The following is a 26,755-nucleotide window of genomic DNA, read 5'->3' on the forward strand; positions in this document are numbered from 1 at the left end:
GCCCTGGCTCTGCCTCCAGGTCATCCTCCTTGGCCTCCAGTGCCTCTGGTGGGGAGTCCCTGTCCGAGGAGGAACTGGCCCAGATCCTGGAGCAGGTGGAAGAAAAAAAGAAGCTCATTGCCACCATGCGGAGCAAGCCCTGGCCCATGGCGAAGAAGCTGACAGAGCTCAGGTGAGCAGGCTGCGGGTCAGCCAGGGCCTTCCGATGTCCACAGCTCCTTCTGATGGGAATGGGAGCCCTCCCTCCACATTTCCCCAAAGGGGCTTGATGTGAGGGGGCTGCTCCAGCGAGGACAGCACTCAGGGAGCCCCATGAGAGCCAAGGCGGCCGTGCTGTTCGCCAGCACCACAGGGCCTAGAGGGGGAGCCATGGAAGACTCGGAGGACTCCCGACCTGTGCCCATGCCTTCCCTTGCCTGGCTGCCCCTTTTATCCCATGCCACACTTCATCTCGTGGCTTCTGTGCCTCCCTCACAGCCCAACAGAGACATGCCTTCTCCTGGAAGCTTTCTAGACCCCTTCTCCTCAAGAGCAGCTCTCTCTCATGTTCCTGGAGCACCCAGTGTCTCTCCATGTGTACACACTCTCGCTTGCGTGATTTGCACGGTGAGTGGGAGAGGGTCTGCCTGAGCCACTGTCACATCCCCATTGCCTGGCACCAGGCCAAGCTGGCCCCCATGCAACATGAATATCACTCTGTGAATGGCAACAGGCCTCCTGCCCATGCCACTCGACTCCTGTTTTCTACTCAGCCACTTCTTTGGTTTCCATGCAAAAGGCTGATGCACGGAGCATTTGATGATTCTGGGGTCTTTGCTGCAGTTTTAAAATAACAGTAGACTCACACCTGTAATCCCAGCACTTTGGGAGGCCAAGGCAGGTGGATCACTTGAGGTCAGGAGTTTGAGACCAGCCTGGACAACATGGTGAAACCCCGTCTCTACTAAAAAGACAAAAATTAGCCGGGGGTGGTTGCGGGCACCTGTAGTCCCAGTTACTCGGGAGGCTGAGGCAGGAGAATAGCTTGAACCCAGGAGACAGAGGTTGTAGTGAGCCGAGATCATGCCACTGAACTCCAGCCTGGGCAACAGAGGGAGACTCTGTATCAAAAAAAAAAGAAAGAAAAGAAAAGAAATAACAGCAGTAGTCATATTACATACTTTTTGAGTTTCTGCTAAAAAGTTCCTATCCAACATGACCGTTTTCCCCAAGGTCCCTCTGTTTTTTTGCCACAGCGTTGGGAGTGGCACTCCCCCCGTTTCCTCTGTAGGAAGCCCATGCTCCCTGGCTCCTCTCATACATGAGCTTCCTCATTGCTCGTTCAAACTCCTCACCCTTTATTAAGCACAGCAATTTGGCAGCCATGTTTTTGCAGTATTTACCCCAACAGGCACAGTAAAGATCTAGCTACACCAACACTGGGCCGACCCCGACAAGGAAAACAGAGCTTACCCCACGGCCCTGCAAATTATTACGTCATCTCCTATATGGCTGCAAGAAGAAACACCTCCTCGTAGTGCCTCCAGGCCTATGCTTTAGGCCAGTGCTGCTGAGCACCAGAGCTTTCTGCAATGATGGAAATCAGTCAAAATCTGCACTGTGTAACATATAGCCACTACCACGTGTGGTTACTGAGTGCTTAAAACAGATTAGTGTAACCGAAAAACTGATTTTTTTGTTTTAGCTTTTATTTAAACTTAAATTTATGTATAGCATAGTGACTATAATTAATAACAATATATTGGATACCTGAAAATTGCTAAGAATAGATTATAAGTGTTCTCACCACATACAAGAAACAAGTATGGGAGGTAATGCGTATGTTAATTAACTCGATTTGACAATTCATAATGTATGCATATATCAAAACAGCATGTACACCATAAATATATACAATTTATTTTTAAGAGACAGAGTCTTGCTCTGTCACCCACGCTGGAGTCCAGTCCACCATTTTAACTCACTGTGGCCTTGAATTCCTGGGCTCAAGTGATCCGCCTGCCACAACCTCTCCAGTGGCTGGGACTACAGGCATATGCCACCATACCTGGCTAATTTTTAAATTTTTTTGTGGATACAGGGTCTCGCTATGTTGCCCAGGCTGATCTCGAACTCCTGGACTCAAGCGATCCTCCCACCTCAGCTTCCCCAAGTATTGTGATTACAGGTATGGGCCACCACACCTGGCCCATTTGTCAATTAAATAATAAAATAACAAATTAATTTTAAAAATTTAAATAGTCCCATGTGGTGAGTGGCGACAGTGTGGAAGCTAGACTCAGCTCTGGACTGTCTTCCTTCTCAGCCTCCTCTTTTTTTTTTTTTTTTTTGAGATGGAGTATCGCTCTGTCGCCCAGGATGGAGTGCAGTGGCACAATCTCGGCTCACTGCAACCTCCGCCTCCCAGGTTCAAGCGATTCTCCTGCCTCAGCCTGCCGAGTAGCTGGGACTACAGGCGCCCACCACCGTGCCCAGCTAATTTTCTGTATTTTTAGTACAGACGGGGTTTCACCGTGTTAGCCAGGATGGTCTCAATCTCCTGACCTCATGATCCGCCCGCCTCGGCCTCCCAAAGTGCTGAGATTACAGGCATGAGCCACCGCGCCCGGCCCTCAGCCTCCTCTTTTTGAATCCTTTCTCCCTGCTCCCTCCAAGCTGGGCTCCTTCTCCTGCCAGCAGGGCAGAACAGCCATCTGTCACTCTAATAGAACCTCACTCCCACTCAGGTGTCACCAGAACACATCTTTTATTAACAGTGGAAAAAGTGCAGCCTTGATGCCTATGGAAATGAGATCTCCAGCTGGCTGGAAGTCTCAGGGACCGTGACAATCCCTGAGGGCTCCTCAGCTGCCAGAGGAGAAATCTGACATCTCCTTCCTGCCTCTGAGGGGCAGAGTTCCTGGGGCTGGCAGGATAGGAAGAAGCTAAGGCCTGAGAAGCCAAGGAGACCTATGCCTCTCTCACTGGAGTGGGCCTCCCCAGCAAACAGTGGGTCTCCTTTCCCTGGACCTCCCTCCTGTCTCTTCCTAGCTTCTTCCCTTCCCCAAGGCTCCTTATCCTGGACTCAGATTTAAGTCTCTCCAGCCTCTAGTCTCCACCCGAGCTGGTGCCTCTGCCTAGAAGATCTGTGCTTTCTGCCACCTCTCCTTGCTAACTCCTACACACCTTGTAAGACTCGGGCCAAGTGCCTCCTCTGCAGGGAGGTCCCCATTGCCCCTCCCCACAAGCAGGCTGATTGATTTACTGTCCCTCTCATTCCAAGGCACTGTCCACTCTCTTGACTGGATGCTGTTCTTGTTTTCAGAGCTGTCTCTTTTTCATCATTTACTATCAATTCCTTTTTATATACAGCCAGTCTTTGCTGGGCATGCCCTTTGTGCCAGGCACTGTTCTGAGTGTGGTATGTATAACAATTCACTGAATCCTCACAATCACCCTGTGATGTCGGTACTGCCATTATTGTCACCATTTTACTGATGAGAAGACTGAGGCCACACAGCAAGTTAAGTGGCGCAGCCAGGATTTGGACTCAGGAATTCTGGCTCCAGAGCCTGCACTGTTTTTTTGTTTGTTGTAGTTGTTGTTTTAGAGACAAGGTCTCGCTATGTTGCCGGGACTGGTCTCGAACTCCTGGGCTCAAGTGATATTCCCACCTTGGCCTCCCAAAGTGCTGGGATTACAGAGCCTGCTCTCTTAATTTGTAATCGTCTCTCCAGAATTACCAGACATTCGAGAACGCAACCCCTTTGCTACCAGTATGATTTCTTCTTCTGAAAATAAAGTCTCCAGTTGCAGACGGCATCCCCATACTACATCCTCTCTTTTAGAAATAGTAGTGTGGGGGCCCCATTCTCTGGCCCAGTCAGGCACTGGCTGACCTGAGCATGGTTACTGTAGACTATCTAAAAAGGCTTGCTAGTGCTGGGTGTGGTGGCTCACACCTATAATCCCAGCACTTTGGGAGGCTGAGGCGGGCAGATCACTTGAGGTCAAGAGTTCAAGACCAGCCTGGTCAACATGGTGGAACCTCATCTCTACTAAAAATACAAAAGTTAGCCGGGCGTGGTGGTGTGTGCCTGTAATCCCAGCTGCTTGGTGGCTGAGGTAGGAGAATTTTTTGAACCAGGAAGTGGAGGTTGCAGTGAGCCGAGATCATGCCGCTGCACTCCAGCCTTGGTGACAAAGTGAGACTCTGTCTCCAAAAAACATATGAAAACAAAAGGCTGGCTGGACATAAAAAGCAACAGCAGTGAGTTGGGGCAAACCTGAATTCACACCTCTGCCACATCTGGAGACTTTGGTTGGCTACCCAATCCCTCTCAGGGTCACTTCCTTCCCTTAACCTCTCTGAGCCTAATAATTCTCACTTGTAAAATGGGAATAATAACATCTACCTCACAGGGTTGTTCAAACAATTTCAAAATATTTTTATTAAGTGCCCAGCATATAATATGCAATTAAAAAATAGCGATTACTGTTATTATTAAAGCTTGAACATCTTTTATGCCTGACACTATGCTGAGCCCTGAGAGATGAGGTTGGGGAACAAAGATGAATCAGAGAAGCATGTGGACATCATCAATAATGATACACAGTAGGATGTGAAGTTGGCATAACAGCTTCTAGTGCCCATGAATCAGGGATATTTGCTTTAATCATAGAATTAATCAGGTCTGTCTCTCAGCTTTGTCCAAAGCCTGATATCTTAGAAAACTACCCAAACTGCTTTCTTTCTTCAGAGTGATTAGAGGACTTCTGCTTCTAGGTAGATGGAGTAGAGACGCTTTTCCCTATTCTTCCCACTAAGTACAATGAAAACCCTGAATGCCATATTTAAAGCAAATATAAGAAGATTTGAAAAGGTAGAAAGAAGAAGGCAAACTGGCTAAGAACCTCAGGACCAAAGGGATGACCAGGGCATTGAGTTCCTTGGATTTTCTTTTTTACCTTCTATATCCCAGACTGGCTATTGGAAAAGCTGGCAACCCCAAAACTCCAATGGAGGCAGCCAAAAAAAATGCCCCAAGAAAAATCTGCTATTTCTGGCCAAAGGACCAGGGAAGAAACAGACTGGCAAGACAGAAAACTTTTGGACAATAACTGTTCTCCAGCCAAATACCACAGACAAAACAACAGCCCCCATTGCCAACCCTGGCAGCAAAGGCAAGTGGGGAAGCCTGGATACCCACCTTTGCCAGGCCAAAGCAAGGTGCCCCAATACCCCTAACCAGGGTGTGCCAGAGGAGGCTGAGTGGGAAGCAGGAATTTTCATCCCCAGCAGGTAGTAATGATCCCTCCTTTTCCCCATGGTTTCGGTGAGGACCATGTGGGGAGTCTAGACTCTCACCATGACTTGGAAGTAACCAGGCTTGAGTGGAGGCCTGAACCCCATCCCTGCTCAGCGGTAACAAGGAGCTTCTCCTCAGCCTCAGGTGTCAAAGGAGGCCAAATGAAGAACCTGGACTTTCACCCCCACCTGGAAGTAATCAGGCAACATTACCTACAACTACCATAGCAATGTCAGAGGAGGCCTGGTAAAACATAAGATTTAAATAATACCTAGAGTCTTATAATATCCAAAAGTCCAGGTTTCAATTAAAAATCGCTTGCCATACCAAGAACCAGGAAGACCTCAAACTAAATGACAAAAGATGATCAACAGGTTTTAACACCAAGATGACAGAGATGTTAGAATTGTCTGACAAAGGTTTTATTTTATTTATTTTTATTTTTTATTTTTGTAGAGACAGGGTCTCACTATATTGCTCAGGCTGGTCTCGAACTCTTGGCTCAAGCAATCCTCCCACCTCAGCCTCGCAAGACACTGGGATCACAGACATGAGCCACACCTTGCCCGACAAAGGTTTTAAAGCAACCATCATAAAAATGCTTCAATGAGCAATTGTGAACACATGAAACAAATGAGAAAAACAGTCTCAGAAAAAAAATAGAAGCTATAAAGAGGAACAACTGGAAATTTTAGAAGTAAAAAAATACAATAACTGAAATTTTTAAAACTCAGTGAGTGGGCTCAACAACAGAATGAAGAGAACAGAGTAAAAACTCAGTGAACTTGGAGATAGAACAAGAGAAATTACCCAATCTAAACTATAGAGAGAAAATAGCCTGGAAGAAAATGCACAGAACTTCAAGGATGTGTGGGACTATAATAAAAGACATAACATTAGTATCGTTGGAATTCCAGAAAAAGAGGAGAAAAAGGATGAGACTGAAAAAGTATTCAAAGAAATTATGGCTAAAACTGTCTCAGATTTGGCAAAACTTACAAATTCAAGAAGCAAAACAAATCCCAAGCAGGATAAACCCAAAGCAAAGAAATTCATTCCAAGACACATCATAGTCAAACTTCTAAAAACTTGTAGGCAGTCAGACAGAAACAAAACATCACCTACAGGGAAAAAAACACAATTATAATGACAAGAAACTTCTCATCAGAAACCATGAAGGGCATGCCCTTTGTGCCTTTGTTATTATTTATATATCTTCACAGAGTTCAAAAAAAGTTTGCTGTGCCCATGGAAATTCATAAACCAGGTGGACTCTTCACAGTGACTGGTCTTCATAGTTTGCAACTAGCCTTTGGTAGGGTCCCCTGTTCTCTTGGGGGTTTGCTGGATGTCTGGACACAGAGTCTGAACAGAGAGAAGAGAAGCGTTTGCTGCTGGGCTCAATGACTCAGGCGCAAGAGCTGCCCCTACTTTTGAGAATTGTTAACTGAAGCTGCTAAATCTTAAAACCTGGCACATTTAAGCTCATAGAACTCCAAGTGCTTTTGAGTATTTGCCCACTTGTAAAATACAGGAAGAAGACAAAAATATGAATATTGTGAAACCATTCTTTGTTGTTGCAGTGGTATTGGTGTTCACTGATAAGTCACTGGCAGGACATCTCCTGCCAAGGGGGGGAACAGGGAGAAGATCCCATTGAGGAGGACATACAGCCCAGTTCTTGACCCTGGGTTTAGGAGTAGGACAGGCAGCCTCACTAGCATTGAGACACTGAGACATCCCAATAAAGCCAGCCTCAAGGTTAGGATGCAACTTCACACGTATCAACTGTCCACACTTGTACCTTGGAGGCAGCAGGAACAGTGGGGTAGGCATTTTGTAGGAGCAGTGGTGACTGTAGCAATAGCAGCCAGACACACACAGCTCCACAACACCTTCTTCCATCTGCCCTAAGACGGACTTCATTCTTCACTCGCATGATTGGGTTTATCTAGTGGTTGCTGATAAACTAGCTTTCTGAGGTGTGGGACAGGAGGAGGAGCCCTGGTCATAGTATTTGCTGATTTCCGTGGTCTAAATACTCCCACCATGGCCAACTCAAAGCTACTAACAGTTTAACAACTGGTTGGCCAAGTTCCTGAAGATTTAACAATCTGTTCTCAAAGGCTGTCCTCACCAGGTCCAGCAACCACTGCAGAATATTTAATAGACAAATTGATTCATTTGTTTCTCATCCAACTTTAACAGGGTGCTCATTCACTCACTCAGTCAACATCCATGTGTTCCACAAATACCTATCCAATGATGCCTGACTTACAATGGTTCAACTTATAATTTTTCAGCTTTACAGTGGGTTTATTGGATATACTGCATCATAAGTTGAGGAGCATATGGGCTTATGATGGTTCAACTTACAATTTTTTACTTAATGGCCTTTTTGGGGTATTAAGTACATTTTCAACTTAACGATGTTTTCAACTTACAATAAGTTTATTGGAACATAACCCCTTGTACATCAAGGAGCATCTGTATTAATTTTATATTGCTATTGCAACAAATTACCACAGGTTAAGAATTTAAAATACCACTCGTTAATTAGTGCACAGTTCTGTAGGTCAGAAGTCCAGCATGGCATGGCTGGATTCTCTGTTCAGGGTCTCATCACACCAAAATTATGGTATCAGTAGGGCTGCAGTTCTCACCCAGGGCTAAGGTTCTCTTCTGAGCTCACTGATTGTTGGCTGAATTCACTTCCTTCTTATGCTTTTTGTGTAGCCCCTCCAGAGGGGCCCCAGACACAGAGAGTCAAGAATATTCCTGCTCCACGTTTGATAAAATCTAATATTCCTTCATGATAAAAGCCTCCAACAAACTAGGCATTGAAGGAACATACCTCAAAATAATAAAAGTTATCTATGAGAAACTCATAGTGAAATTCATACTGAATGGGCAAAAACTGGAAGAATTTCCCTTAAGAACTGGAACAAGACAAGAATGCCCATTCTCACTTCTCCTATTCAACATAGTACTGGAAGTCTTAATCAGAGCAATCAGGCAAGAGGAGAAAAATGAAAGGCAGGAAAGAAGGAAATAAAAGTAGGAAAAGAAGTCAAAGTATCTCTCTTTGCTGATTATATGATTCTCTACCTAGAAAACCCTAAAGACTCTGCCAAAAGGCTCCTGGAATTGATAAAAGACTTCAGCAAAGTTTCAAGATACAAAATCAATGTACAAATGTACAAAAATCAAGAGCATTTCTTGATCTAGTAACATTCAAGCAGAGAACCAAATCAATAATACAATCCCATTTACAATAGTCACAAAAATAAAATAAAATAAAATACCTTGGAATTCATCTAACCAAGGAGGTGAAAGATCTCTACAAGGAGAACTACAATACAATGACTAAAGAAATCATAGGTAATACCAAAAAAAAATCCATGCTCATGGATTGGAAGAATCAATATCATTAAAATGCCCATACTACTGAAAGCAATCTACAGATTCAATGCTATTTCTACCAAACTACCAATGTCATTTTTCACAGAAATAGAAAAAAAGATTCTAAAATTCACAGGAACCAAAAATGAGCCCAAACAGCCAAAGCTATCCTAAACAAAAAGAATAAAGCCAGAGGCATCACATTACTCAACTTCAAACTATACTATGAGGCTACAGTAACGAAAACAGCACAGTACTGGTACAAAAACAGACACATAGACCAATGGAACTGAATAGAGAATGCAGAAATAAAGCTGCCCACCTACAACCATCTGATCTTCAATAAAATCAACAAAAAACAAGCAATGGGGAAGGACTCCCTATTCAATAAATGGTGCTGGGATAACTGGCTAGACATATGCAGAAGAGTGAAACTGGACCCCCGCCTCTCACCATACACAAAAATCAGCACAAGATGGATTAAATACTTGAATGTAAGACCTAAAATTATTAAAATCCTAGAAGAAAACCTAGGAAATATCATTCTGGATATTGGCCTTGGGAAAGAATTTACGACTAAGTCCTCAATAGCAACTGCAACAAAAACAAAAATTGACACATGGGACCTAATCAAACTACAAAGCTGCTGCACAACAAAAGAAACTATCAGCAGAGTAAACAGACAACCTACAGAATGGAGAAAATATTCTCAAACTATGCATCTGACAAAAGTCTAATATCCAAAATCTGTAAAGAACTTACACAATTCAACAAGCAAAAAACAAATAACTCCATTAAAAAGTGGACAAAGAATATGAACAAACACTTCTCAAAAGAAGACATACAAGCCTCCAACAAACATATGAGAAAATTCTCATCATCACTAATTATCAGAAAAATGCAAATCAAAACCACAATGACACACCATCTTCCACCAGTCAGAATGGCTATTATTAAAAAGTCAAAACCTAACAGATGCTGGTAAGGGTGCGGAAAAACAAACAAACAAACAAACAAAAAACACTTATACATTGTTGGTGGGAATGTAAATTAGTTCAACCATCGTGGAAAGCAATTTGGAGATTTCTTAAGAAACTTCTCTTCTGTTTTTAAGGGCTCATATTATTTTATTACACTGGGGCCATGCAGATGACCCAGAATAATCTCCTTATTTTAAAATCAATAATCTTGGCCGGGCATGGTGGTTCACACCTGTAATCCCAGCACTTTGGGAGGCCGAGGCAGGTGACTGCTTGAGCTCAGGAGGTCAAGAGCAGCCTGAGCAACACAGTGAGACCCTATCTCTAAAAATAAATAAATAAATAAAATAAAATCAGTAATCTTAACTACATTTTAAAAGTCCTTTTTGCCATGTAACATATTATATTCATGGGTGGAACACCACCAGACGAAGGTCACAGGGGCCACAGTTCTGCCTACCATGCCTGTTATGTACCTCGCACTCTTCTCAGCATTTGGGAAACTTCAGTGGATAAAACAGACAGAATGTCGTGCCTTCATGGAATTTATATTTTAACCAGGGGTATACAAAGACATAAGCCTTCACACATGTGTTTGAGGCTTCATAATTCAGATTTCCTCTGGTTAGGTGCTAACTGAAATCCTGCTTTTTTTTTTTTTTCTAAGCAGGGAGGCCCAGGAATTTGTGGAGAAGTATGAAGGTGCCTTGGGAAAGGGGAAAGGCAAGCAACTATATGCCTACAAGATGCTGATGGCCAAGGTGTGTGGGGTGGGGGCAGTGAATCTGTTGGGAGGGCTTGCTCAGCTTTGGAATCTGGCGACCAACTTCGGCAACTGCCCAGCTTCGCCATTTGTGTCCAGCTGCCCCCAGAATCCTGGGTGTGAGGGCCACCTGACCATTCTGATCCATCTAGGCATGGAAACCAATCGTATCCTGCCAATTTCTCCATACTTACTGTGAGGGCTTCAATACATTTGAGACTTGTCTTCTCTCCAGTGAATACACTTAGAGAACTAATGATGTTAAAACCACTGGGATTTTATTTTCCAAACCCCAAATCAGGACAGGTTGAGTTGGTGGAGACCCAGAAGGGCTGTGGTGTGATCAGGGTCACGTGGATGATAAACAGCGATGTCCCCAGACGGATGGGGGCAGCTCTGTTTTGTTGAGTTGTATCATAACCTGGGCATCTGATTTAAGTTAGGGTAATGTTTCATGTTGGATATTTAAAGTGAGACTTACTGAAGTATCCTTCCTTTACCCACTGATTTGAAAAACTACCATTCTCATTCACTTAATTCTTGTACAGAGCCTGTTTCAGGGCTTTTATTCTGAACAATCATTTGATGTCATTACCTCAATGACATCAAATGCCTGGTAGTTCTAGGTTCCCCTTTTTACCTTTGGTTTTTTGTTTGTTTGTTTTTAGAAACAGAGTCTCACTCTGCCACTAAGGCTGGAGTGCAGCGTCACCACTCCAGCCTTAGTGGCAGCCTTGAACTCCTTGGCTCAAGAGCTCACTGCAGCCTTGAACTCCTGGCCTCAAGAGATCCTCCAGCCTCAGCCTCAGCCTCCTGAGTAGCTAGGACTACAGGTGCACTCCACCACACCCTGATAAAACTTTGTTTTTAAAAAATAAAAAAATGTCTTGGCTGTCTTGCCCATGTTTCTACATGCATTTTTAAAAATCCCTTTGCCAAGTTCCACCATAGTGTATTGAGATTTTGGTTGGAATTTCTTTTAATCCTGTATTTAATTTGGGACTTCCTTATCTATACAATATTTAGTTTTCACATCTAGGATACCATACATTTCTCAAGCCCATATTATATCCTTAAGCAAAGTTTGTCATTTTCTCCCTATAGATCTTTTCCATGTTTTATTTCTGCACATTTGATAGCCTAGTTGCTTTTGCAAATGCGATCATTTTTCAATTATTTAATAACTAGTTATTGGTAGTATGTAAGAAAGCTACAAATTTTTGTGCTAATTTTATATCTGGTTCTCTTATGGTACTCTCTTATTAATTCTTTTTTTTTTCTTTTCTTTTCTTTTTTTTTTTTTTTTTGAGACGGAGTCTCACTCTGTTGCCCAAGCTGGAATGCGGTGGCGCGACCTCGGCTCACTGCGAGCTCTGCCTCCCGGGTTCACGCCATTCTCCTGCCTCAGCCTCCCGAGTACCTGGGACTACAGGCGCCCGCCACCACGCCCGGCTAATTTTTTGTGTTTTTAGTAGAGACGGGGTTTCACCGTGTTAGCCAGGATGGTCTCGATCTCCTGACCTCGTGATCCGCCCGCCTCGGCCTCCCAAAGTGCTGGGATTACAGGCGTGAGCCACCACGCCCGGCCTCTCTCTTATTAATTCTAATCTTTTTCATCTGATTATGTTCATAAAGATGTTTTTGTTGGGTTCTCCTAAATGTGACATCTCATTCCAATTCTAAAATGTGAACTAGCCATCCTAGAACAGCATCAATTGATAATGGTGATCATAGCTCTCCTTATCTTTGCATCACTTTAATGAGAATGACTCTAATGACTTTCACACTAAGCTGATGGGAGTTGATGGCTTGAAATAGATTTTCTTTGTCACCGTAAAAATTATTGTCTAGTTGTTGTTTAGTAAGACTTCCATTTCATTGGAAATAGATAATTAGGTTTTATTAAACACCTTTTCCTTTATGTTATTAATTTTTTTTTATTTCTGGGATAACCTCAGTCACGGTACATTACTTTTAATTCCACAGACACGTTTGATTTTCCGATATTTTATTTATGATTTTTACATACATTTTCATAAGATTGATATGAATTTGTGTGTGTTTGTACACAAGTGTATGCATGTGCAGTATCTTGGCAGATTTTAACATTAGGACTGCACTTGCATTATAATTGTAAATGAATAGCGTTACCTCCTCTTTATGCTGTAAATCAGTTTTGGGAGCATGATAATACACTTTTTGTTAATTTTAAAGATGATAACCTTTCAATAGTAGAGATCGAGAGCCATTTTTATAGAATACCTTGAAATTTTTTTCAAGTATTCAGTTTATTGATGTACTCAAGTTTTAACTTTTTCTTGAGACCATTTCAATAATTCATATTCTTCCTGAAACTTGATCATTTCATTAAAATTTTCATATGTGTTAACAGAAAGTCGCATATGGTAGCCCCATAAATTTGTAATTACTTTTTATATCTGTTGGGTTTGAATCTTTCTTATTCCTTTGTTTTTTTGTTTTTTTTTCTCTGTCGCCCAGGCTAGAGTGCAGCAGCATGATCTCGGCTCACTACAACCTCTGCCTCCCAGGTTCAAGCAATTCTCCTGCCTCAGCCTCCCAAGTAGCTGGGATTATGGGCATGCGCCACCATACCCGGCTAATTTTTGTATTTTTAGTAGATGCGATGTTTCACCATGTTGGCCAGGCTGGTCTCGAAATCCTGACCTCAGGTGATCCTCCTGCCTCAGCCTCCCAAAGTGCTGGGATTACAGGAGTAAGCCACCATGCCCGGACTCAATCTTTCTTATTCCTAATATTATTTTTTCTCATTTTCCAGTTATACTTGCCAGACAACTCTCTATAGGTCATTTTATTAATTTTGTCTAGAGACTATTTACCACTTACCAACTGCACACTCACATCTTATTTTTTCCAATGAAGAATGTGCTGTTCAAGTATATTTTTTTTCTAGATTTTTACTGTGACAAACAATGCTTCAACAAACACCTTTTACATTTATCTTGGATCCATGTGTTTTTTAAAATCACAATAAGACAGTCCCTCAAATAGTACTGCTAGTTCAAAAGTGTGCATATTTTAACTTTAACTTTTACTACACATTTTTCAAACTATTTTCCCCAATCTATAGCAACTCACACTCAAAGGAACAAAGTCGGAGAATGGCTTATCTTCACTAGTTATGAATGTTACCGTCTTTTTAACTTTGTGCTAATCTATTGGGTAAAAAAATAGGTTATTATTCTTTCTTTAATTTGTATTCACTGCTTTTTTATTGCAGTAAGAACACTTGAGATTTAGCTTTTTAACTAATTAAGTACACAATACCATGTTGTTAAGTGTAAACATTGTGTTGTACAGCAGGTCTCTAGACAAATACATCTTTGATAAATGATTCTGTTAAACCATGTTTCTGTTCACATAGTTCTAGCTTCCCCCTTAGGAAAAGGATTGCCTCCCCCCACCCCCATCCCCCATATTTACTTTTCCACGTTATTTTTTAGCTCTTTGCTTCTTTCTCTTTGCAATCTCAGAAATTTATCAGGTTTATTCTCAATATCATGGAATCCATTTTCCTCTGTGTCAATTATAGTCTTTATTTTGTCTAATGTTTTTTTCATTCAATTACTAAGCTCTTAGCTTCCTTGTAATCCTTCCATATCTCATCTGTATTCTTTTCAAATTGATATCCTTTACTTTAGAAGCCATATTTATTGCATCCTATTAGGAATGCTGACCTGCTTTCTAGAATTTATGTATGTATCTTGGAGGAAATGTTTTCCACAAATATCAAAGAATGGTGTCCCTTTTTCCCTGTTCTGCAATAATATTTCCCAGGCCTCACTGGTTGTTTTCATTTTAGTCACCCAGATCCTGATTTTATTGACAGGACATGTAGCTTGCCTGTGTCTTGCTCCACCATGACTTGAAACTTTTTTCCTATGTATAGCTGGAGGGCAAGACAGCATGACAACTAACAACCCATCCTAGGACCAGCAGCAACCACCTCACACAGGCCTGAGAAAGGGGCTTGGAATCTTCTGCCCATGCCCCAGTCCAGTTTTCTGACTCTGTCAACCAATGAAGGATAAGAGAATCCATGCCAGAGCATCTCCCAGGCCTCTCTCTGCCTCTGCTCCAGTTCTGGGGCCTCACTTTTCAGTCCGAGATATCCACAGCCTTGAGGGGCTGTCAGGTGGTTGCCAAGGAACCGACCGGCAGGCTGTGCCTCCAGGGACCTCACTTGGCAATGTTCATTACCCCTGCTGGTCCTCAGCCTTGCAAGCCTATATTTTATACTGATTTTATCAGCACCCTGACAGGGGATCCATCTCTCGAGGGAGGACTCGCATTAATAAAGCTTATGAGACTGCTACATGAAACCAGATGCTGGATTATTAACTTACAAGAAGAAATAAGTGATGCAAGATGGAAAATTTGAAGTCCACAGCAGTCATGCCTTTTATTTTTGATAGCTGAGTTAGTAATACGAGAAGCTAAACCATCATCCCAATTCCTATCTGTGAATTTGCAGTGAAAGTCACTGCCATAGAAACCAAAGTACTCAAGGCAAATGCTCTCTTTATAGGCAGACCTACCTAGGAAGCCAAATAGTCAAAGAGTATTTTTGGGTTTGGGGTTTCTTCTTGGTTTTTTTTTTTTGTTTTTTTTTTTTTGAGATGGAGTCTCGCTCTGTCACCCTGGCTGGAGTGCAGTGGTGTGATCTTGGCTCACTGCAACCTCCGCCTCCTGGGTTAAGTGACTCCCCTGCCTCAGCCTCCTGAATAGCTGGGATTACAGGTGCCTGCCACCACGCCCAGCTAAGTATTGTATTTTTAGTAGAGACAGGGTTTGACCATGTTGGCCAGGCTGGTCTTGAACTCCTGCCCTCAGGTGATCCACCTGCCTCGATCTCCCAAAGTGCTGAGATTACAGGCGTGAGCAACCGTCCCCAGCCTGTATTTGTTTTTAGTAGAGACAGGGTTTCACTATGTTAGCCAGGCTGGTTTCGAACTCATGACCTCAAGTGATCCACCCACCTCAGCCTCCCAAAAAGCTGGGATTACAGGCATGAGCCACCACGCCCAGCCCAAAGAGTATTTTTGAACACAGTCTCAGAGCTAGGGAGGGCGGATGAAGCAATGAGACTGGGCTGCCCAGTGTCTGTTTTCTGCCAATCACCATATCCTTCCTATCTTTGCCACTGTTATCAACCAGTCTGCTGATGGGCTTCTCCTCTCTTTTGCATCTGGGACCATCTCCCTCTTCTGACAGCTGGTTCCCTTCTTTATACAATCATTCAATCAGGAGATGGTCAAAACTATATCTGGAAAACCAGGTCTGGAAGCCTGTCTGATTCCTTCACAAAATTTTTCCCGTTTTGATGGATGGTGGCTCACACCTGAAATCCTAACACTTTGGGAGGCTGAAAGCAGGCGGATCACTTGAGCCCAGGAGTTTGAGACCAGCCTGGGCCGCATGGTGAGACCCTGTCTCTACAAAAAATAAAAAAAATTAGCCGAATGTGGTGGCTACTCAGGAGGCTGAGGCAGGAAGATCACTTGAGCCCAGGAGGTCAAGGCTGCAGTGAGCCATGTTTGCGCCACCTGCACTCGGCCTGGGCAGCAGAGTGAGACCATGTCTGAAAAGAAACGTTTCCCTTTCATCTTCTGCTGACTTTATTTTTTGCCCCTTCTTTTCACAGGTGCGGACTTTAGTGACTTTACAGGGGAATATCTCATGTCCTCCATGAACAAGTTCTGAGGAGACCTTTTAATAATAGGAACCGGGCCAGGCACAGTGGCTCAAGTTTGTAATCCCAACACTTTGGGAGGTCGAGGCGGGCAGATCACTTGAGATCAGGAGTTCAAGGCCTGCCTGGCCAACATGGTGAAACCCATCTCTACTAAAAATAGAAAAATTGGCCAGGCGTGGTGGTGCGTGCTTGTAATCCCAGCTACTCAGGAGGCTGAGGCAGGAGAATAGCTTGAACCCCGGAGGTGGAGGTTGCAGTGAACCGAGATTGCGCTACTGCACTCCAGCCTGGGCAACAGAGTGAGACTCCATCTCAAAATAACAATAATAATAATAATGGGAACTGATCTTAGGATCTGCTCTCTACTACCTCTTATGCTTTCTATGAGTATTTCTACCTCAGCTTTCTATGAGTATCTGTTTTATTCCAAATGGATTTGTTTCCACAATGTGGGGCTGGTGGAGAGCAGTCCCTTGGAGAGTTGACAAAACAACACCCAGCCATAGAAAGACGGCTGATCAGGTTTCTGTTTGGTACATAGTCTGGGTGTCTAGCTGGGAACAGATCACAGGAGGGGGCAACATGCCTTTCTGACTCTTTTCAGAAAAGCGAGGCTGTTGTTCCCCCAGGAGAAGAATGTTCAGCTATGGGTTGAGATCTCCTTATCAGTTGCACCACCCCTGCAATTTTGCGACAGTTCCTATCAGAGAGAGGCACTTGGCTGTCTGCCAGACGTGGGTCTGAGAGTAGCCAGAGTTCCTTCTACCTTTGAATTTTTGTTTTAAGTTGAAGAAAGTCATATCAGAGGTTGCTAACTCAATCGGACCCTCCAAATCAGAAATCGTACAGAGAATTTCTCACTTTATCTACAAACTGTCCAAACCAGAAATTTTATCAGCACAGTAAGGGGTGGCCCTCACTTGTCTCTCACTCCAGGCCTGACGTTGGGGAAGTAAAGGTTTGAACACCTGCCTCTGGCAGCCTGGGCTCAAGGACAGCAGGAGCTGGGGACTGCAAGACAGCAGCTTCACCCATGCTGACTCATGCTGACCTGTCGGCCTCCTCGTGCCCCTCATCATGCCCCTTTGTGCTCCAGGTTGACATGTTAAGGAACTGAGAGTTTTACGTCTTTTATTTCAGAAATGGGTCAAATTTAAGAGAGACTTTGATAATTTCAAGACTCAATGTATCCCCTGGGAAATGAAGATCAAGGACATTGAAAGTGAGTATGCTGGTGTCACTGTTTTTTTAATTGGTTTCCTAAAGCGTTTCCCAAGAGCTTGGATTGTTTCCTTGGCCCTCTGAATAGATTATTTCATTGGTTCTGTTGTATTAGGAAAAAAGAATGAGTTTTGAACTTGTCAGGCCAAGATTTATTTTTTATTTATTTATTTATTTATTTATTTATTTATTTATTTATTTTTATTTATTTTTGAGACAGAGTCTCGCTCTGTTGCCCAGGCTGGAGTGCAGTGGTGTGATCTTGGCTCACTGCAACCTTCACCTCCTAGGTTCAAGCGATTCTTCTGTCTCAACCTCCTGAGTAGCTGGGATTACAGGTCTGGGCCACCACACCTGGCTAATTTTTTTGTATATTTAATAGAGACAGGGTTTCATCATGTTGGCCAGGCTGGTCTCGAACTCCTGACCTCAAGTGATCCACCCACCTTAGCCTCCCAAAGTGCTGGGATTACAGACGTGAGCCACCGCACTCATCCCAGACCAAGATTTAAATTCTGCTTTTTCACTTTCTGACTGTGGGCACTTAGGCAAGTTAGTTAACCCCAAAGAGCCTCAGGTTATTTATCCAGGAAAAGAAAGGGAGATCCAGGTGTCATTCAACAGACTGATGTGAAAATTGAATCCACCACACACATAAAGTGCTCAATAGTGTCCATTTTTTCCTTCTGCAGCACTCATACCCACCGTCTTTTCTCTCTCTAGGTCACTTTGGTTCTTCAGTGGCATCGTATTTCATCTTTCTCCGATGGATGTATGGAGTTAACCTTGTCCTTTTTGGCTTAATATTTGGTCTAGTCATAATCCCAGAGGTAAGAAAAGAACTTCCTAAATCTTTGGATAGAGTTAAGGCTTATGACCACCGTCATCAATTATCAACCAAATACTTCCTGTTTTACAAAGAATCAGTCATTCATTTAAAATGCTATTAGGCTGGTGCAAAAGTAATTGTTTTGCATTAAAAGTAATTTTAATTTTTTGCCATTAAAAGTAATTTATAAATTACTGCCATGAAAAGTAAATTTATAAAATTAAAAGTAATGGCAAAAACTACAATTACTTTTGCACCAACCTACGACCTAATGTACTCACATCAATTACCCAGATAGTTAAATACAAAGAATGGAACCAAAATACTTTGTTCCTTAATTAGTAGGTGAATCTTACATTTTTCTACTTCTCATTTTACCTTAAGATCAGTGGAGAATTAATGTTTCAATGAGTTTTTTTCTTTTACTCTCAGAAAAAAGAGAGGGATAGAATACATTATATCATTATTTATCACCAAAAAAACTTGGATTTGACTATCACTCCTCACTATTCTCCCATATATAATTTTTAAGGAGGTTTTTTTTAGAAACAGGGTCTCACTCTGTTGCCCAGGTTGGAGGGCAGTGATGTGATCGTGGTTCAGTGCAGCCTTGAACTCCTGGGCTCAAGTAGCTCTCCCACCTCAGCCTCCCAAAGTGTTGGGATTACAGGCATAACCCACCATACCTGGCCCCAGATATAATCTTATTATGGACATAAATAGATTCTTATCTACAGATGATTAATTGAGAAACAAAAAAGGGGTAATGAGCAATTTGTGCAAAGTCACACAATAAGATCATTGTGAATTGGATCTCAGGTCCCCAGAGTGATGGCTTAGGGTCTTTTCCAAGGAGCCTGTGGCTCACTAAGCACTGAGCACAGCAATTGCTACAATTGCTACAGTCCTGACTGAAATCCTTGATGCTGGTGCTGGGTACACAAGTGGGTCTACTTCAACAGCTTTCAGAGGAACAGTATGTGTGCATTTAGTATTTTCTTCCTCACAGGTGTATTAATTGGTTCTTTGATGACTTACTGACTCCTATTTTGTTATAAATGGTTCTGTGAGCATATTGGAGTCAATTCTATCTGCAGTTACATTTTCTGCACAGCCACTTTCAGGACATTAAAAACCTTTCACATAATGTGAATTAAATCAGATTTATTGGAGGAGGTTGACCATGCATTATAATAGCCTTTGGTAGCAAAGGAGTGTTACATTATTCATAAAATTGTTGAATTCTTTTCTATATTACTCAAAATGTGTGCTTACAAATATGTCATTAACTAGCCTTTGTACTCTTTCATAAACACACCTAGAAATCAAGGGTTCTGAGTCCACTGAGCCCTACATATATTCTTATGCCAATATCACTCTCTGACCCAGAAGTTAGCATTTTAAACGTCACTGTCAAGCGTACACAAACACTCTTACACCAAGTCTGGTTCTCCCCAGGGGGAAAATATTGTCAAAAGCTAATAGGAAGTCTCATTTATCTCCTCCATAGTCAGGTAAATATGAAATGTTTTCCTCGGTAGTCAATGGGGAAATTTACCTTCACAAAGCTCTTGGCTTTCTTCTTGGAAGCTTTTATTCCATGAGAAGAGAGCACATTTAAATGCCACAGGCCTATGAGACATCTCTGAAATTTTGCTGTGCAGTGGTCCATAAAAGGCAGGTTTGGGGGAAGTTGAGCAATTTTAAGGACACTCGGTTGCTTTTTAAAAGAGAACATTAAATTTGGTATAATTTATGTAAGTTTTTAATATTTTTATGAGGGAACATTTATTTTAAACAATAAAAACTTAGTGATTGGTGCATTCCAATGAAGCAGCCAAGATCTGAACCATTCGTGCTAGAGAACCTTGATTTGATTGGCAGGTGATTGGGAAAACCATACTGGAGTGGGTTGAGAGTAAGAGAGAGAGAGAGATGCTTTGCTGGAAAGAGGAGCCTTGGCTTGGGAAGAAGGAGAAGGGAAGAAGGGAAATAGGGGAGAAGGGAAGAGGCTTAGACCAGGTAGCAGCCTGTTGCAGTAGGTCAGTGCTAGATCCGGGTAATATCAATGGGAATGGATTAAAAGAGAGGAATCAGAGTGAAGTGCACGGACAAGTCTTGATGACAGGTTGGATAACAGCAATTAGGGTGTGGGGTGTCTCAAGATGCCTTCTTATTTAGGATGATGGGAAATTGGCCATATGGGAATCAGACACATCCAAATTCATTGCACATCTAAAGGAAGTGTCCTGTTGGTCAAAGACACAGAGAACTTCAGGGCTCAAGGGTTTTCAGCATAAGCTAAGGTTCAGAGATATCCCCACGACCCATGGATGTTTTAAAATGAAGCATAGTGAACCAGAGGGTCCAGGGATAAGAATAGTAGAAGTGCTCAAACATGACTTTTTAAAAAAATTATTTATATATATATAGAGAGAGAGACAGAGCCTCATTCTATCTCCTGGGTTGGAGTGCAGTGGCACAGTCTTGGCTCGCTGCAGCCTCCACCTCCTGGGTTCCAGCAATTCTCGTGCCTCAGCCTCCCAAGTAGCTGGGATTACAGGCACGCACCACCAGACCCGGCTAGTTTTTGTATTTTTAGTAGAGATGGGGTTTCGCCATGTTGGCCAGGCTGGTCTCAAACTCCTGACCTTAAGCGATCTGCTCGCCTCAGCCTCCCAAAGTGTTGGGATTACAGGCATGAGCCACCATCCCTGGCCTTGAACGCAACTTTAACGAAACTTCTCCTTATATTCATTTTCCTTTTGCCACAAACTCTCAATACCACTTTATGAAATTAAACAGCTCTGAATGTAAGAATGAGCCTTGTTTATCTTTAATTGCCATTGCCTGCACAACCCAGGATGTCTACGTGATCCCTGAGGAACCCTCAGTTATGCTGCAGGAGCTGGCTGGCAAGGCCCCACTGGATGACAAGTTTATGTACTTCTCTTCCAACACTGGATGTATGTGAAAATCACCTGGGGGACTTTAAGAACACCAGATCTTAGGCTCACCCCCAGTCAAATAAATTTGACTCTGAGGGTATGGTCTTGTTATCTCTGTTTTAAAAGCTTCTGTGGAAAGCAGATTTCTATGATAACCTCCAATGATCCTTCTCTCCTGGTATTCATGTCCTTATGTAACGCCTCCCTTTGAATATAGGCTAGACCTAGAGACTTGCTTTTAACAAATAGAATATAGAATGGTTAGGTTATGAAAGATAGTGATTTCCATCTTGCTGGCAGAATTCTCTGTTGATTCCCTTCTTGGTTTGGGTGCTTTAATGAAGCAGTCTGACAGATTGGAGATGCCCACCTGGCAAGGAACTGAGTGTGGCCTTTGGACAATGGCCAGCAAGGAACTGAGGCCCTTAGTCCAGCAACCCAGCAACAACCACATAAGCACTTTTTTTTTTTTTTTTTGAGATGGAGTCTTGCTCTGTCACCCAGGCTGAAGTGCAGTGGCATGATCTCAGCTCACTGCAACCTCTGCCACCCAGGTTCAAGCAATTCTCCTGCCTCAGCCTCCTGAGTAGCTGGGATTACAGGCATGTGCCGCCACGCCCTGCTAATTTTTGTATTTTTAGTAGAGACGGGATTTCAGCATCTTGGCCTGGCTGGTCTTGAATCCTGACCTCATGATCCACCTGTCTTAGCCTCCCAAAGTGCTGGGATTACAGGCATGAGCCACCATGCTCAGCCTCACATAAGCACATTTTAAGGCAGATTCTTCCCCAGTCAAACCTTCAAATAAGACCAAAGCAGAAATTTTGGTTGCAGCCTTGTGAAAGATCCTGGAAGCGAAGGACCCAGCTAAGCCATACCCAAAATGCTAGTCACAGAAACAGTGAGATAATAATTGTGTGTTTTTTTAAGCCTCTAACATTTTAGGGTAATTTGTTATATAGCAGTAGATGACTAATGCAGCTCCCCAGGTGATTCTATTATGCAGCTAGGGTTGAAAACTGCTAATGTACATTATAAGGTCTTTAAGGAAGCTGTGCTTTAGGTTTACATAGCAAGCATTCAGTCTGTAAACCTCTTATGATACTTCCCCTTAAAAATAACTACTAAATTATTTCAGACATATGAAAAGATATAATGAGGCCGGGCGCGGTGGCTCACGCCTGTAATCCCAGCACTTTGGGAGGCCGAGGCGGGCGGATCACGAGGTCAGGAGATCGAGACCATCCCGGCTAACACGGTGAAACCCCGTCTCTACTAAAAATACAAAAAATTAGCCGGGCGTAGTGGCGGGTGCCTGTGGTCCCAGCTACTTGGGAGGCTGAGGCAGGAGAATGGCGTGAACCCGGGAGGCGGAGCTTGCAGTGAGCCGAGATCCCGCCACTGCACTCCAGCCTGGGCGACAGAGCGAGACTCCGTCTCAAAAAAAAAAAAAAAAAGAAAAGATATAATGAATGAGCCTACTTGCTCATCACCATGCCTAAAAAATGAAATATTACACACACACTGAAGTCCTCTGATTAATTTTCCCCAATTTTATTACCTACGTAACCCTCACTATCCTGAACTTTCCATTTCAACTCACATTTTAAAATGTAGTGACTTAAATACAGTCATCTCTTATTTTCTAAAATCACAGTGTATCTAAAGATGTATCCCCTTTTGCATTACAGTATAATTTTTTTGTCTCATTTACAGCAAAGTTTGTCTTTTTTAGTTATTTTGTTCAAGAAAAAACTTTTGGCTTTGCTGATTCTCTCTGAAATGTCTTTTTTTTTTTAATTCAGTCTTTTGGGGGGCACAATTTGCATCAAGTAAAATTTACTCCTTTTAGGTATACAATTCAATGACTTTTGACAAATGTATGATCAGGTAACCACCACACAACTGAAATATAGAACATTTCCATCGCCCCCTAAATTTCTCTAGTACCCACATTGCAAGCAATCTCCTCTCCCAGCTCCCAGCCCTTGACAACCAATGATTGATTTCTGATTTCTGTTCCCAAAGTTTTGCCCTTTTCAGAATATCATACAAATAGAAATATGTAGTATGCAGTTTTATTGTGTCTAACCTCTTTCAGTTGGTACAATGTCTTTGAAATTCTTTCATGTAGTTTATCAGTCATTTGTCCCTTTATTGCTGAAATGGAATTGAAAATTACAATGGGATTGTAATATTCCACCATATGAGTATATCATAGTTTGTTATCCATTCACCAGCTCATGGACATTTCAGTTGTTTCTATTTGGAAACTATTATGAATAACTCTACTATAAAACATTCACTTTCAGGTCTTTTTCTTTTATATCTTTATTTTTATATTACTAATTTCTAACTTATATGTTTCATTTCTTTCCTTCTAATTTCTTGGGGTTTGTATTCATTATCTATTGCTGGGTAACAAATTACTCCCTATTTTTTCGCTGAATACAACAACCATTTATTATTATTTCTGTGGGTCAGGAATCCAGAAGTGGTTCTGGCTTGGGGTCTCCCACAGCCTACGGTCTAGGTTTTGACCAAGGCTACAATTATCTTGAGGCTGAACTGAAGAAGATCCGCTTCCAAGCTCACTCACATGGCTACTGGCAGATCTCAGAAGATACAATTTCAAGCTTACTCACGTGGCTTCTGGCAGGCCTCAGAAAATCTGCTTCCAACCTTACTTATGTGGCTGTTCCCAAGGTTCAGGTACTCAGTGGCTATTGGCCAGAGACATCAGTTTCTTACTACATGAGTTTTTCCATAGGCAAGCTCATAAGGTGGCAGCTTTCTTCTCCCAGAAGGAGAGAATCCAAGAAGGAAATAGAGCAAAAAGAAGCTTCCCACATAGAAGCCACCATTTTTTATAACCTAATCTCAGAAATGACATTCCATCACTTCTGCCATATTTTATTCCTTAGTAGTGAGTCACTAAATCAAGCCCACACTCAGTGGGAGGGTATTATGGTACACAATAATAAATACCAGAGGCAGGGATCATGTGAGCCACCTCACAGGCTGCCTACCACATTGAACCCTCTGGTCCTCAGTGATTCACATCCCTTCCACATGCAGAATACACTCGCCCCTCCTCAAGGCCTCTAAAAATCTTATTCTGGCATAGCATCAGCTCAGATTCCAAACTCTCACTCTAAATCAGTAGTTCAGGTGCAGATGAAGCTCCATGGGGGTAGCTCTTTAAATACAACTCCTTGAGTTCAGTTCTCTTTACCATGAGACTAAAAAGATGTTATCTGCACCAACACAACAAACATAAAATGGTGGGACAGGCATAAGATAAATGCTATAGACATGCCTGTGTTCAAACAGGAGAAAAATGGGAGGCACAAAGGAGTTATTGGCCCATAGCAAGTCTACAACTGTAGTAGCCTGTTCTTGTGTTGCTATGAAGAAATACCTGAGGCTGGGTAATTTATAAAGAAAAGAGGTTTAATTGGCTCATGGTTCTCCAGGCTGTACAGAAAGCAAAGTGCCAGCATCTGCTTCTGTTAAGGGCCTCAGGAAACTTACATCATGATGGAAGGTGAAGGGGAACCAGCACATCACTTGGCGAGAGCAGGAGCAAGAGAGTGATTGGGAGAGGTCCTAGACTTGTAAACAACCATATCTCGTGTGAACTAACCGAGTGAGAACTCACTTATCACCAAGGGGATAGTGCTAAGCCATTTATGAAGAATCTGCCCTCGTGATCCAGTATGTCCCACCAGGCCCCACCTCCAACACTGGGAATCACATTTCAACATGAGAGTTGGAAGGGACATTCAAATGACATCAGTAACACAACACTCATTTATAAATTTTCCTCTCAATACCATTTTAGTTGCATGCCATATACTTTGATATACATTGCCATTATTTATTTTTAGGTATTTTCTAATTTCCTTGTAATCCACAAGTTATTTATGAATAATTTTCAAGACTTTAATATATAGAAAGATTGGTGGCATTTTTTACTGGTTTTTAGTATAATTTTATAGTGATCATAGTGTATATTTTGTATGAAACTGATACTTTTTCATCACTTGGGACTTGCTTTATTTACTTAGAATATGGTTAATTTTCCTAAATTTTTATATTATTTGCATGGTTCAAAATATTACTTGTATTCTACAAATTATCTATAATCTTACTAATTTTAGAGTAGCATGATCAATTGCTGAGTGAGATCAATTAAATCTCCTGCCATTGTCTTCTTCTCATTGTAATTATTATTTTTGTTTTATATATGTTAATGCCATGTTATTGGGCACATACAAATTTAAGATTGTTATGTGGTGAATTATATTGATTTATTTTCAAATGTTAAACCAGATTGCATTCTTGGAATAAACCCAACTAGGTTATTATGTATTATCTTTTTTATATATCATCTGATTTTGATTTGTGAATATTTTATCTAGAATTTTTGCATCTATTTTTGAGATACTGGACTGTAAATATCCTTCTTATAATGTTCTTATGTTTGGGGATCACTATTAGACCTCATAAAGTGATTTGGGAATGTTTTTTTTTATTATTCTCTTGAAGAATTTGTGTAAATTTTCCTGTGGTAGGTTTAGGTGAATTTTTAAAAATGTACTTCTTTTAATTGACAAATATAAATTGCATATATTTATGTTGTACAAAATGCTGTCTTGGAATGTGTATATATTGTGGAATGGTTAAATCAAGCTAATTAACATATGCATCACCTCATATACCTATACTTATCATTTATTTTTGGTGAGAACACTTAAAATCTATTCTCATAGCAATTTTCCAGTATACAATACATTGTTATTAACTATAGTCACCATGTCGTACAATAGATCTCTTGAATTTATACTTCCTATCTAGCTGAAATTTTGTATCCTTTGACCAACATTTCCCAATCTCCCCAATTCCCTAAGTGAAGTTTTTGTTGTCATTGTTGATTTGTTGCTTTTTGTATATGTGGTAGGCAGAATTCTAAGAATGACCCTAAATGACCCTCAATCTTGTATAATCCCCCCCCCCTTTGAGTATGGACAGAACCTAGGAATGAGGTATCACTCCAAGGTTATTTGAGTGAGCCTAATTTAATCACATGAGCTCTTTAAAAGCCAAGAGTTTTCTCTGGCTGGTTGCAGAAGAAGTCACAGATATTCAAAACATGGGAAGGATTGAACACACCACTGCTGGCTTAAAGATGGAGGGAACCATGTAATGGGGAATGTGGGAGCCCTTGAGAGGCTGAGTGTGGCCGCCATCTGCCACCCCGCAAGGAAACAGGGACCTCAGTCCTACAAGCACAAGGAAATGAATTCTGCCAACAATAAGTGAGCTTGGAAGAGGACTCCAGACCCCAGATGAGACCCTTAGCCCCTGCTGACTCTTTGATTTCAGTCTGGTGAGACCCTGAGCAGAGAATCCAGCCACACCATGCTAGACTGCTGACCTACAGAACTGTGAGCTAATAAATGGTGTTGCTTTAGGCCATCTTTGTGGTAATTTGTTACACAGAAATAGAAATCCAAAGCAGTAGATATCCAGCTTTGGATCTGTAGCACTTACTAAATCTTAAACTGTCTTTTGTCACATTGGGAAA

General features: G+C 42.0%; 1 protein-coding gene across 3 annotated transcripts in view; it reads left to right on the top strand.

Moving 5' to 3' along the window:
* The window catches only part of TMC2 (transmembrane channel like 2), a 107,008-nt gene that overhangs the window by 25,266 nt on the left and 54,987 nt on the right, over positions 1–26,755 (top strand). For all 3 annotated transcript variants that reach the window (XR_001754152.2, NM_080751.3, XM_005260660.5), the window contains 4 exons: positions 20–172; positions 10,341–10,431; positions 17,308–17,389; positions 18,112–18,218. Coding sequence is in view for 2 of the 3 variants with exons in the window: in NM_080751.3 (NP_542789.2) it covers positions 20–172; positions 10,341–10,431; positions 17,308–17,389; positions 18,112–18,218 (433 nt within the window). In the remaining variant the exon portion in view is untranslated. The remainder of the gene's footprint in view (positions 1–19; positions 173–10,340; positions 10,432–17,307; positions 17,390–18,111; positions 18,219–26,755) is intronic.

The sequence above is a fragment of the Homo sapiens genome, chromosome 20, assembly GCF_000001405.40.
Source record: "Homo sapiens chromosome 20, GRCh38.p14 Primary Assembly".
Classification (NCBI taxonomy): Eukaryota; Metazoa; Chordata; class Mammalia; order Primates; family Hominidae; genus Homo; species Homo sapiens.